This window comes from Homo sapiens, chromosome 3 (genome assembly GCF_000001405.40).
Source record: "Homo sapiens chromosome 3, GRCh38.p14 Primary Assembly".
Classification (NCBI taxonomy): domain Eukaryota; kingdom Metazoa; phylum Chordata; class Mammalia; order Primates; family Hominidae; genus Homo; species Homo sapiens.
The window spans coordinates 97,837,156-97,851,692 of NC_000003.12; the positions used below are offsets into that span (position 1 = coordinate 97,837,156).

Below are 14,537 nucleotides of genomic sequence, written 5' to 3' on the forward strand. Positions count from 1 at the left end.
ATAGGTAAAGATCTCATCTTGTTCTGCATTATTTTTCATTTAATCCAAGGGAAAGTCTCACCTGGAAGACTGGGGTATTATTTGATCACATTTTAAGGGAAGGATAGATTCTGGTTACTTTTAGGACTTCATCACGGGAGTTGGGTCAGGTGGGCTCTGTGGTGAGGAGGAACATGCCAGGAAGGAAAGGCCTAATGAAGCTGAGGTAGAAGGGGAGGTGCTGGTGAGTGGACCAGGCTTCTGGAACCAGCAAGTTTTACAGTAGTTGGGGAAGATAAACTAATGGGGAGATTTGCCCTGATTCTTTTTCCCTGTTCTCAACAGTATTGCTGATTCTTCTACTGTAGACCACAGCTCATGTAGTAGAAGTGAAAATCTCAAGTGGGAGGATAATTTCAGGCGGCATCAGTTTTGAGCGGGGTTGGAAACAAAGGAGAGAAGGTAAATTGGCTCTGGAAGTGGAGAAATGTCCCTGTGGACAGAGGGTTGGGGTGTGCTGTTTAGATGTAAGGGCATTCCCAAATTAGGGAATACTTTATGTTAAGTGACCTCATATTTGGGGGTACTCTGAATTGCTGCCAGTGATGGCATTAGCACCAAAGATCGCTTCCTCTCTCGAAATGGCAAGAATTCATAGACTCTGGCATCCATAAAGAGGTAAGCAAGCCTCTAGAAGACGCTTATGGAAGCTGTATCAAGTCTTTACCATTTCCAGATTTCCCTGATGCAGTCACAGTTATGTATGAAAGAAAGGCATAGGAGGAGGAGGTGCCCAACAGGTGCATTACAGGAGGGGAGGAGAGCTTTACTCTCCCTTACTGTGCCTCACCCCTCTCCACTGAGTGTACCCTTTGTTTCTGTGAGTCTGTCCTGTGGCCATCCAAGAAGGTGCTTTCTTACCTCATGAGAAATTGACTCTGAAAGAGGCCCAGAAGCTTCCCTTGTGCTCCAGTCTGTGGTATGGACTGAAAAAAGGGGATTTTTTTCCTTCCAGGTCCCACCCTGTACTTTCAGTGCTGTATGTGCTCATTAGGGCAACACCTCTTTTCTGGATCGAGAAGCTTTGCTGAACGGCAGTGTTGGAAAATGGGTAGTGTTTTCTAAATAATTGTTACCTAATCTTTAGCCACACTTAACATCTTTAAATAATAAGTGGAGATTCTCCTGGTCAGATTTTTTTCTTCCCTCTACAGCTATCAGTTGTTGATGTCAGCTAAAGATAGAGAGGCTCTCAGACCATTGTTTATCAAGAATGGGGTCAGAGGGCCACCTGCATTAGAACAATCTGGGGTAAAGGGTGATTTGTAGCTCAAAATATAGATTCCTGGGCCCCGTTCCAATTGGATTCCTTGACAGTCGGGCCCAGAAATCTGTTTGAGAAACATAGATGCCTCAGGTGATTCTGATGCATATAGACATGAGTTCTGAAAGAATGAGGGCAAGGACCTTGTCTGGTTTGTACATTGTGCAACCCCCAGCACCAAGAACGGTGCCTGACACATGTGTGCACTGCTAGTTTGTTGAGTGGGTGAGTGAGTTCTTGGGCCCAGTTTTCCACTGCTTATCTGCTATTGGTTAGGGAATCTTGTTATAATTTAATTTTAAGAAAATAATATCTCTTAAGTGACAGGTTAGGAGCTCTCCTTTATGTAAATTATTTGAAATTTAGAAGGTTAAAGTGATCCTTTTTTTTCCATTGCTTATGAAAAATATTTTGTCTGGCACAGAGTCACACAAAGGCTAAATGGCTGTATGTTGGATTCGTTTTCAGCCATGGTCCAAATAAAGTTGCTTGAAAAATGAGGAGCTTTTATGTTACATTGACCTTCATATTTGAGCTATTTTGAAAGATTGATTCTTAAAGTTCTGTTAGCTAAGATGAGGCTATTTAGAAATGTAAGGTGGTTTTATTTGTGCGTACATGTGATTTTGAATTCTGCTCTTCACCCCCTGCCATGAATAAAATGTGTGCTTTCTAAAAATATTCCTAATTGAAATACCCTGGGTCCCAAAGGGGGTTAAATTGTGAGCAAACAATAGGAACAGATTGTGGTCTCTCATGAAGCTTGAGGTGAACATGGTTCTCTTTCCTTGGTATTTATTTTTTAAGAGACTGAAAATATCACCCCAAGCCTTTTGAGTCCTTTTTATTTTATTTATTTTATTTTATATTTGTACTAAGCAAACATCTGAGTATTCACTGTTTTTGAGTATATGTAGCTACTGTGTTCTCATTTTTTAATGTTTTGTTTTATTTTTAAATCAACTGAAAATGACCTTGTTCTTGTTGAGTAATTTTTTCCCACCAGCTCCACTCCCTACTTAATGGTTTTAGAGAAGTATGTTGTAGGATAGGAATGGCTGGCATATTCTTTCAAGAGACTTATATGCTCCTCCTTAAGAAAAAAAGACTGATGTTATAATTATATTGTTCCCAATGTAACAGTGTTTTCTGATGAAGGTAAGCAGGCGCAAATGGAAATATGGTTATAGATTTTTTTTTTTCTTTTGAGACAGGGTCTCACTCTATCACCCAGGTGGAGTACAGTGGCGTCCTGAATAGCTGGGACTACAAACACGTACCACCATGCCCAGCCCCCTTTTTTTTTTTTGTCAAGACAAGGTTGCCATGTTGCCCTGTCTGGTCTCGAACTCTTAATCTTAAGCCATCTGCCTGCCTTGGCCTCCCAAAGTATTGGGATTACAGGCCACACCGCACCTGGCCTGGTTATAGATTATTTTTTAAAATTTGTCTAACAAATAACTATTTGAGTGCGTTCGTGGTGCCAGGCGGGGTGCCAGGCTCTGGGATCTTCTGAATTAATAAGTTTATATTCTCGTTGGGAAGATGAAAAACTAGCTGTTAATGATAAAGAGTGGCAAATATGTGGGAGGTATTGCTGCATGCAGTGAGAGCACAAAAAATACAAGTAAAACCAGAACTAAGCTGTAAAGGATTTAGAGTTGATTAGGGTGGGGAAGGATGTTGCAAGCAGCAGAATAAAGTGATTTGTAGGAGTGTAAACTTTTGTGTATTCTAGTAATGTCAAGTGGTTCTGGGTAACAGTTGTATCAGGAGTTAGGGCATGAATAATGTTATCCATGCTAAGAATGTTTCATGTAGAAAAGTGTTGAAATTTTAATAAAAGGAATGATTTTTATCAGTCAACCAAAATTTTAAAATATGTTGTTTGCATTAAAACTCAACACATTTTAAAATTTTGGTTTAGCAATAAGAATCATGCAACTTAAAGGATGTAAGTGAGAATTTTAAGAAATATCAAGTAATATTTCTTTTGGTGATTTTAACTTAAATTCTTCCATTGTTTGCTCAGTACTTAATGTGCTGATTTACTGCTGTGTTTTTCTGGAATTTGTGTGTGTGTTTGTAGTTTGTATTTGGAAGTAATTACAGCTATTTGAAAAGACTGAGTTCTGCCATAATCTCATGAACTTAGCTGTATTTTCTGGAGAGCTTTTATATTAGAAAAGAAACTTACCGTTTTCATTTACAGTCTTAGGCAGTATGTTTATAGAAAACCCTGTAAACACACCAAATAAAGCAGAATTTCAGCAATCTTGAAGCATGAACTAGGAGACTAAAATTAGATGTTGTATGTTTAAGTAGTTTTTAGGTAGATCATTCAAAATAGATTGTAGTTAGAGAATTCACTTGTCAAGGTCAGCATTATTCTTAATTATACCCCAAATCTTTATAACATGATCTTTTTACATGTATTTGCCAGTTTGTTTTTGTTAATTTGAGCTTAAATAGACCAAAATCAATTCACGTTTACTTTAAAAAAAACTGAATTGTAAACAGCCTTTTGGCAAAAGATAAAGACTAGTAAAATAGAAAAAAAGAGATAAGAATTTATTCACTTTTAAAGAAGCAATTATGAGAAATTCTTATTTTATACATTTGTACGGGTTACAATTCTGTATTGTACAATATTTTCTATTGTTTTATTCCTGATTTTGTTCCTGAATTGTCCCACAGAATTTTTTATGTGTTTAACACACAGCTCATATATGTGTGTATATATGTATATATGTATATATGTATATGTATATATGTGTGTATATACATATATGTATATATGTGTATACACATATATGTACATATAGGTGCGTACACCTATATGTATATATATGTGTATATACGCATATATATATGTATATATGCATATATATATGTATATTCTTTTTCTGTTGACATTTAGAAGCTTTAAGGATCTGTTTAGCGGTATCCGTTTGGTCCATGTGTTTCTGCATGGAGTCTTGGACTTAATGACATTTTAATCCATTGTATTTTCCAGGTGTTCATGATTTATTTTTTGTTTCCATTTTTTGACCATGACCATTTGTTTCTTGGATACTGTGCGTAATAACATAGACTTTTATGGATAGAAAATCTAAATGGCATAAATCGTGTCCTCTCTTTCCATCTGATCCGCTTTGGGACAGCCTTTATTTGATCAGAGCTATTGATACTTCCTCCTCTCCGGGCCTTCCACCACCAGTGACCACTATTCGACATCTGGCCCACTCTCAGTCATCCTCCTGCTTACGCTTGTCCCCTCCTTGAAGACTTCCCACTGCATGTAGGACAAAGGTCAAATTTCATAACGGGTCAGCCCTGGTCTTCATAGTCTGGTATTCACTAATTTTTGGTCTCAGTCTCATCCCTTGGAGGATTACCTCTGTCCTTCGCAAGCTCTGTGCTCCAGACTTATATTAAAAGCAAACAAATAAAATTTGGTTTTCAGAAAATGCCCGATTCTCTATTACCACCTGCTTTTGCACCTCCTCTGAGGGTACTTTACTGAGTAGGCAGAATTGGTTGCTCCTTATTTCTTTTATGCTTCGTAGCATTTTGTTCATTTAGCAGTTATAACTCTTATGAAACTGTATTGTTAAGGTTTATGTATTAGTCTCTCTAACTAGACTGAGTTTTGCAAAGAACCTGACGTGCTCATTTTTATATCCTTAAGGCTAAGCAGAATCCTTGGCATATGGTAGAGAGTCAGTCATCTTTAGAGTGAAGCTACTTAATTTGTCTAGTATTATGAAAGTATGAAAACAGGATAATGTTTGAACAGAGATATAAATATTTAGTTCTGGAAGCTGGGCGTAGTGACTCCTGCCTGTAATCCCAGCACTTTGAAAGGCCAAGTTTAGAGGATCACTTAAGGCCAGGAGTTCAAGACCAGCCTGGGCAACATAGTTGAGACCCCCATCTCTACAAAAAATGAAATAACTGGGCATGGTAGCATGCACCTGTAGTCCTGGATACTTAGGAGGGTGAGCCAGGAGGATTGCTTGAGCCCAAGAGGCTGCAATGAGCTATGATTGCACCACTGCACTCCAGCCTGGGCAACAGAACAAGACCATCTCTAAAAAAGAAAAAAAAAATCTTAAATGTGTCTTGGGAAAGTAGTTTATAATGACATCCCAAAAGGCATCTGAGGAGGTATTCCAGACTAAAGACAGTTAGAAGTAACTATTTGGGAAATCAGATTTTAAGGTGCCATCTGGAATACGTTTGGGGCTAGATAAACCTACATCTATTTTTGAGTATTCCCAGAATTCACTAGATGGACCTATATGTTTATAGTGATTTGCTGAATAGAAATGCATTCTGTTCCAAATAACACCCAGCATGGGCATTAAAAAAAGATCTGGCTATGGGGAACCTTCACATAAATAATATCTTAGAGTGCTAGCACTTGCCAGTGTTATGAAAGTAATACACAGGTGCTCTTTTGTTCAGATATATCATTACTGTGATGTTGATTATCTGTGTAAGAAAATATGAGGCACAATGAGTTCACACAAATATCTGAAGACTAGATGAACATTTTTGAATGCATTTTTTGAATTTAGAGATTCAAATCAATATATCCTTGGTATAACATGGTGTATCAATCTTTGAGCATTGCAGATAAAGGACCTTTCAGTTTGAGTTTAAATACAGAAAACTTTTAGTTTCGTAATTTTCTTTTAATTTCAAAAGAAACTGTGGTTTTTATTTTTCAGTGTTGAAAATGAGCCCATGAGCACAAGTCAGAAAAAGGAAAATGTACTTTCATCAGAAGCAGTAAAGGTATAGTTTTAAATTAATATTATTTTATATCAAGCAAATATCTTAAATTGCTGTTAATTCTTTTAGATTCTGTCATCTTATTTTACATTTCAAAAAGAACACTGTATAATTACTTTTTGTGGAAATCCAGCCCAACTTTGTCAGACACTTGCATCAGGAGGTGGGACGGGAGTCTGGACAGGTGGGGAAAGGCTCTGAGAAGGGAGTATACAGAGTGGTGTTCTTGGCTTTGCCACTAACCCAACTGTGTGATCTTCAGCTGAGGATTTAACTTCTTCGTGTCTTTGCTAATCTGTAAGTCAGATCACATGACCTCCATGGTCTCTTTTTCCTAGGAAGTTCTGGGATTTATGAGTTTTCTGAAATGTTGCAAAGCAATAGTGCTTTTGGAGGGCTGAAGTTAATAATCTGTTTCTACATATCATTGCTCTGTGTTAGGTGTGTTTGGTTAGTTTGCATGTCGTTCTTGGCTTCTCTAAGAGGACAAGCACAAAAAGTAGATAAGCTACACACCTACATAGGGGATTCTCCATGAGTAGTTGAAAATCCTTGAAAATCACTAAACCTTTTGATCTCTCTTTTTATTCATAAGCGGTTTTCTAGAAATTTGATGTTTCCAGTTTCTAGGTATGTGATCACGTTTTGGTAGCTATCCCACAATCATGGCTTTTGGTCCCAGTTGCTTTCTTTTCACATGATTTGTGACAGTCAAGGAGAAAATTTGAACCTTCTGGGGATTTCAGAATAAATTAGCTTGGTCAGTAGAAAGACTGAAAAGTTATTTCAATTCTTCATTACTGATATGGGCACTTTTTAATATTTTTAAAAACTATATAATGCCCAAGTACATTACACATTATAAAGACAAAGTTGTTTTAATTCTTTATTTCTGCCTTCTCCATTATAATAAAAAAATACTTATTGAAAGGAAAAAATGAAGATCACCTTGCTTTCCTTTCTTCACTCCTTTGTGAGTCTGGCTACTAAATCCTCCTTCTGGTGGTTTTTTCATGTATCTCACTTAACTTCTCTTCTGCAATCAGTTGTTACCCAGCCTGCTGGTTTACCATTGTATGGGCTCTATAGCTGCTGCTGATTTTTCAGTTTTTACATGCCTTGAGTTGCCCTACTCAAGACTTTTACTTCTAATGCTATAAAACTTGCCCTTGTGTTGTTTCATAGGAAGGCTGTTACTTCTGAGATCTCAAACTTCCAAGTTTCTTTGGTTATCAGCTTTTGTCATTCCATCTCTTAATCCCTTGTTGACTCTGTACTCACCCTTTACCAAACCTTCCTGCTTTCCTTGCTCCCTTTTCTTCTCTTAGTCTCTGCTTCTTTCCCCATTTAGCCTATACCTGCTGGCTTATTTTAGCTATACTTTCACCTAAATAAATCTTCAGTCTCCAAACTTGGATAAATTCAGCCTCTTATTTCCAGTAGTGCTGTTTTCCACCTGCAGAGGCTCTGAAAGTTACATCTTTGTGGATTCAGTAAATATATTTGGCAAATAGAATAGCTGGGCCTCTATGCTAACAATCTTTTCCATCCATTCTTAACATCTAATTTTGAGTGCCGAGGATAATTTCATTTTGGCATCTAAGCCCCTAAGTAAATACCATGCAGTCATGAAACTGTTTTTCTTGTGATTTGAAGCCTATGAGTTTACTTATATACAGAAACTGCAGTTATCCCGTAATAGAAAGGATACCGTGGCACTTTTTCTGGGGTATCCTGTGCATTTTGGCTCATGTAACTTTTTAAAAAACCTTCTGGAACCTACTGGTAGGATTTCTTCAACCTAGCCGCACAGACCCAGTTGTTCAGGGACTGTTGCTACCAGGCATCATAACAAATATGTATTTTGGTAATGTAACATAAATTTTATAATGCTTTCTGTGATAAGAGAAAAAATATGCAGCATTTCCCAGTTGATCAGAACCATAACAGATTTATGTAAACATAACCTTATATAGTCTTCTTTTTGTGTTTGACCTTGAGATACCCAATGATGATGTCAAAGATTGTTGGTTGCAAGACAAGTTTGAACTACAAAAATTAACTGTATTTTTAAACAATTAGAGATTATATTTTATATTAACTTTGGACATCATTAAATTTTTTATTCTTAAAATACCACTTACATGCTACACAAATTTTGCTATTTTACTAACATCGGCGGCTACTTCTAACATTTACATCTATTTTTCTACTGGAATATGTATTTTATGTTAATAAGGTTTTTATATCTAGCTGGAGATGCTTCCGGAAATTTAGTCCACATTTGATCATTGTCTTGTAGCCTTAAACTCTTGCTTCATTCACATCTACTTTGTGTTATGCCCTGCTCTCTTCTACCTATGTCAGATGAATACTTATCCCTTTCTGCCTTGAAAGGCTAAATTCCCTCAAGCCCCCATCTTGACTACAACATGTGCAGTGGTATTGGTGTCCTTACTTTACTGCCTTTCCTTGGCCCTTGCCTTGACTACTACTATCCCTCCATCTTCACTGGCTTCTGATTTGCATCAGGTCTCTGTGTTTCTCTTTAAATATATAAAATTAAAAACAATGTTTTTGTTTTATTTTTGTGAATCTGGTTTCCTTTCCTTTTGGTCTGTTATTCTACATTACTCCTACCTTTTACCTCAAAATTCCTTATGAAAGTCTGTCTTAAGCATTGTTCAGTTCTTAATGCTTTCTGCTCGGACTCCTGTTTCTCTTTTAGTTCCCTCTGACATGGGAAGCCTGGTACTGTGTCTGGCGCACGTGTCATGGATGCTCAGTATGTAGTCGCTGATTGAATGAAAGCTATTCCATGAAACCAGTTACATTCATGTTCACCAGTGACCTTTTGCTGACCATATTCAGTAACCTTTCCCTAGTTCTCATTCTATTTAACCAGTTGAAACACTTTTTTTTCAAGTCTTTCTCTCCTTTTTAGAAATGTTCTTTGGTTTATCTTTGCTTCTGTGATATTGTCCTTTCTTGGTCCCATCCCTACCTCTGGCTACTTCCTTCAGTTTCCATCACTGATTTCTTTTGGCTAAATACTTTTTCATGAAGATGTTTCTCAAAATCTTCAGTTCTCCTCAGTGTCAGTCCTCTGAAGTAATATCTTCCGATCCTTTGGTTCATCTTTTGGCTCCTGTGTCTTTACGTGACATCCATCTAGAGCTCCAGACTTGATTATCAATGTTCCAGACATTTCCCTGTGGATGTTCCTTTGATCTCAAATTCAGTTTCTCCAAAAGCCTTAATATCTTCGGAGATGTTTTTTCAGTTTTTTTGTTTTTATTTTTTCTTGGGAGTGTTAGTGGTGGAAAGTAGGGAGGATTGTCTTACTGTTTGGGTGAAGGAAGAGCCCTTGGGCTCAACTTCTCTATTTGAAGATTTTCAAGCAAACTCTTAGTTTTAATCCCATGTCTGACACTGCCTTAAGTGGTTCCTAGTGTCTTCAAATCCTAAGTCATTTCAGATTGCCTATGGGATGATTGTTAGGTTCAGAGTCCCTTTTTGCAGTCACTTAGGTAGAAGCTTTCTCTGCCTCTGTCTGCTTTTGCCTTCTAAACCTTTTCTGAAATCTCTTGCCTGCTATATTCAGCTGTTTTTGCATTGCTATAAAAAAATACCTGAGACTGGGTAATTTATAAAGAAAAGGCGTTTCATTGGCTTACAGTTCTGCAGGCTTTACATAAAGCATGGCACCAACATCTGCTCGGCTTTGGTGGAAATCATAGCAGAAGGCAAAGAAGGAGCAGACATGTCACATAGCAAGAGCAGGAGCAAGAGAGAGGGGAAAGCTGCCACACACTTCTAAACAACCAGATCTCACGAGAACTCACTCACTATTGCAAGGACACCACAAAGCCATCCATGAGGGTTCTGCCCCCATGACCCAGACACCTCCCACCAGGCCCCACCTCCAACATCAGGGATTATATTTCAGTGTGAGGGTACAAACATCCAAACTGTATCACCAGTTATATCTGTTCTCTTCCTGTCTTTGTACTTATAACTAAAAACAACAACAACAAAAATACTCTTTTGCTGTCATTTTAGAGTATTTTGTTCAAAAGGAAAAAATCAATGTGTATGTTCTATCCACAGTGTTAAACAGAATTTGTATCCCTTTGTGTGTAGTTGAAAAAAGCAAATCTCAAATTAAGTCACTTGACACAACTCCCACTGATAATGAACAGAGGCAAGAGAATTCAGAGGCAGTTATGTACCATGATTCTTCCTATTCGTGTACTGAATTTTTAAGCTATATTCATAAACTTCATTTATCAAAAAGAAATCCTATTAAAACATAAAAATAACAGTGGCAGTAAGTCTTTTTCCAGAAATGAACCATGAGCTAAATAAGATTATTATATCTGGACCGCAGGTTATAGATTCTCCAACCCAGGCCTCAATACATCAATGATTATTATGCATATTCTCCATAGCTTGGCATCTGCCTTATATGAAATCTACCACTGGTCCCATTTTAGAAATGCTGCTCATGACTAATCATGCAACTTTGTTGAAGGATTTAGCATCTTTTAAGAGGAAGTATTTGGTGTATGCCTGTGATATTCTTGTAAATAAAATGAAATTAATAAGTATTAACTTACTGCATATCAATATCAGATATTTATGACACATTACCCTTATTTCTAATAAGTAAATCACTTATTACAAAGAACCGCATTTTTTGTTGCCACTGTTTAATAATTGACATGTAGAAATGGAAGAATTGTAGCCCAAGACTATTTCACTGAGGAAGAATGATCACTAATTGTTCTTTACATTAATGCCCGTATTCAGAATACAGAATTATGTAGTAAGATGAATATTTTAAATATTTGCATCTGTTCATATTTTGATTTTATGTAGCTCCTCTTTCCTTATTAGGTTTTCAACTCTTTCTCAGTGAGAGTAAAATGGTAGTCAAATTTAAATGTGTTAAATGTTGTCTTGGTTAGAGGGAAATTAATTACTGAACCAATTTTTAAAATATGTATGGCTTTAGTGTATGCTTGCTATCTTTGTTTGTTTGTTGTTGTTTTTTTGAGATGGAGTCTCGCTCTGTCACCCAGGCTGGAGTGAGTGCAGTGGCGCGATCTCGGCTCACTGAAACCTTCACCTCCTGGGTTCAAGCGATTCTCCTGCCTCACCCTCCCGAGTAGCTGGGACTACAGGCACGTGCCACCACTCTCGGCTAATTTTTTGTATTTTTAGTAGAGACAAGGTTTCACCGTGTTAGCCAGGATGGTCTCGATCTTCTGTCCTCGTGATCCGCCTGCCTCAGCCTCCCAAAGTGCTGGGATTGCAGGCATGAGCCACTGCACCCAGCCTGTTTGTTTTCTAACAGACAGGTCTTGCTATGTCTGTCTGGCCTCAAACTCCTGGGCTCAAGCAATTCGCTCACCTCAGTCTCCTGAGTAGCTGGGACTACAGACAGGCATACACCATTGCTCCTGGTGTCTGCTGTCTTTTTTTCTCAGCAATGCAAATAGTTGCAGCAGTATCATGTCAGTTTAACGTACAGATTTTTATACGTCTCTTTTTCAAACATAACAGTGCTCCCACCCCAACAATAATTGTACCTGCAACCCTGTGTATAAATAGATTACAGCACAGTTTTCCCTGTTGATGGTGGGAATGATTTGCCTGGAGCTTCACAGTCAGCCACTGTTCTCTGCCCCTGCCATTCCTGGCACCTCCTTGGAACAGTTTTGAAATTACATGTGTAATGATGGAAAGAACACAGTCTTTGTAACCAGATATGCCTGGACTTAAATCCTAGATCTTCCAGGTGGTGGCTTGGTAACTTTGGGAAATTTATTTAACCTCTCTGAATCCTGGTTTATTGATCTGTAGTAGGGCGGGTCCTTATTTCATAGAGGTGTTTTAGAATTAACTAAGATAACATGTTAAGTACTGTACAATGCCTGATACAGAGTAGGCACTTGGTAAAATGATTGCCTTCTTGCCATATAAAGTCTGGCTAAAACTTAGAAATACTGTGAATCTTTGCTTGAAAATGGTGGTGATTTATTCTGGGTGAATAGTATAGAAGGCACATATTTGAAATATTGATTCTGCATAACGTTTGAGAAGAAGGTACATACAAGAAGGCATACCATATTCAACTTTAGCTGGAAGTCAAAATCTTGCCTCTTGATTGCTTCTAAAAAAAAAAAGTGAGTGCTACTGGAGTGCCCGAAATGGAAAATGCGCTGTGTGTTACTGTGCTGTCCAGTTGACCAAATGGACTGTCAGGGCTTAAGCCTGTCATTGTGGCTGATGGTAGTCTGGGCACTTGACATCTTGTAGTTATTGAATTGATTGTGTTGTAAGGTATCTGGTTTGATTTGCAGCCACTTCAACTATGGTATACCTGGAATGTTCCTACATTGCGGTATGATGGAATATCTTATCAAAATGGAAACTGAATATGAAGGAACATGTATGTACTCTAGATTTTTGTGAGAAAATTTGCCTTTACAGGTGTCAGATACTGATTCTGGAACACGAGAGTGAGCGCCAGAAAGCTCTCAGAGAATCAAAAGCATTTGTTATTCTGGCCCAGTGCTTTTGCTGAAATACTTATATCATAACAGGAGGGAATGGCTTTCCTGCCATTCCTTTTCTTGTTCCTTTCTCTTCTCTCTTTGTATACCTGCCCTGGTTGATTTGATTTCTGCCTGCATCTTGGCTAGTGACTAGCTCATATATGTTCCTTTAGCCCAGCATATATCGTGAGCTTCAGGGTGATAAAGCCTGCTATTTCACGGACCTCTCCTCTCAGATGTCTCTGAGTATAAAGTTTGACATACTCAAAGTTGAACTCATTTTATTTTAGCTTCCTGCTATTTCTGGAAGTACCACCACACTACCCAATCTTGACACCTGGGAATGAATCTAGTGTTTTATCTCCCTTCCCATTGAACTAAGGCCCATCAACGGCCCTTCCTTCATACGCATACCCATTGATACTATATAACTCATACTTTTCTTATTTAGATCAGCAATTTCACGCATATTTTTTCTCTGATACATATGAGAGGTAACTGTTTTGGGTCACCTGTGGTTAAGGGCACTTACTTTAAATAGTACATATAACTACATATCTTTATCAAAAATTATATGGATTTGAAAACAGTGAAAGTAACACGCCAGATATAACTTTAATTCTATACTAGAACATTTTTAGAAGGTAAAATTTTAGCTTTTAAAATAATCTTGGTAATAAGTTATTAATTACATCCTAGAACTGATCATAACACTGATGTGTGATGATATAAAAGTTGCAAATAGCTTATTGTTTTAAACTATAACCAGCTGCATTAAGGTAAGGTAGTTGCCTACCTACCTTGCCTGTTGTCATTTTCTAATGAAAAGAATAACTCTGTGATAACGATCTAATGTTATCTTTGAAGCAAAATTACTTTAACAATAGGAGTATAAACAGTTCATCTTTACAAATTTAGTTGTAAAATCCATTTATTGAAAAATAATGACATGAATATATATCAGTACTCACTGAGGAGTTAATCAGACAACCCACCACGATGAAATCCTTTATAAAGGTACTGATTTTGATTTAAGATTTTAGCATCAGCCTGTAATCCCAGCACTTTGGGAGGCTGAGGCGGGTCAATCACTTGAGATCAGGAAATGGAGACCAGCCTGGCCAACATGGTGAAACCCTGTCTCTATTAAAAATAAAAAAATTAGTTGGGCATGATGGGCGTGCGCCTGTAATCCCATTTACTTGGGAGGCTGAGGCAGAAGAATGGCTTGAATCTGGGAGGTGGAGGTTTTGGTGAGCCGAGATTGCACCACTGCACTCCAGCCTGGGTGACAGAGCGAGACTGTCTCCAAAAAAAAAAAAAAAAAAATTTTAGCATCATTTAAGCTGTAATTCAAGATAGCAGCAATAATAAACTAATAAAGCATTTTTCTCAAAATTGTGAATTTCAAGTATTGGTGGTGGAATTTCAACTTTTGGCAAAATTTCCAAGTAATACGCGGCAGCCAGATGTCTTAGTAGAACATTAACTAGAATTATTTAATAAGGAGTGGGTTTTAGTTTATGAATGCCAAATTTTAGTTACCGTTAATAACTTCAGTAATAATCCTAGTCATGATGAAAGTATGTAAGATTATTGTTTACCTACACCCTGTGGTGTCAAGGCAGACATATGATATTAGGGATATACACTGGAAGAACGTAAATGTAATTTCCGTCCTGAAAAACTGGAATTGTAGAAGGAATTTTCCAGGCAAAGAGAGCAAGGGATAAGTCCCAGCAGTGGAAATAGCATTCTGCAAAGATACACAGTAGTGTGAGAGAAAGAAAGGTAGGGAGGGAGAGAGGAAGGAGGAGATAGTGAATAGTAATGCATGTGAAGACAGTAGGCATTGCAAGCATTGTGAGTGG

The 14,537-nt window shown here is 37.7% G+C and overlaps 1 protein-coding gene and 1 long non-coding RNA gene across 6 annotated transcripts in view; one reads left to right on the top strand and one right to left on the bottom strand.

Annotated features, from left to right (window-relative positions):
• CRYBG3 (crystallin beta-gamma domain containing 3) overlaps positions 1-14,537 on the top strand; it is a 122,974-nt gene that overhangs the window by 15,145 nt on the left and 93,292 nt on the right. For 2 of the 3 annotated variants that reach the window (NM_153605.4, XM_047447439.1), the window contains exon 2: positions 6,040-6,106. The exons of the other annotated variant lie outside the window; for it this stretch is intronic. In NM_153605.4, coding sequence (NP_705833.3) covers positions 6,040-6,106 — 67 coding nt within the window. The remainder of the gene's footprint in view (positions 1-6,039; positions 6,107-14,537) is intronic. 3 annotated transcript variants of the gene reach the window in all.
• The window catches only part of LOC105373994 (uncharacterized), a 36,261-nt gene that overhangs the window by 162 nt on the left and 21,562 nt on the right, over positions 1-14,537 (bottom strand). For all 3 annotated transcript variants that reach the window (XR_007095970.1, XR_007095971.1, XR_001740811.2), the window contains one exon: positions 3,501-3,542. This is a non-coding gene — a long non-coding RNA (uncharacterized LOC105373994). The remainder of the gene's footprint in view (positions 1-3,500; positions 3,543-14,537) is intronic.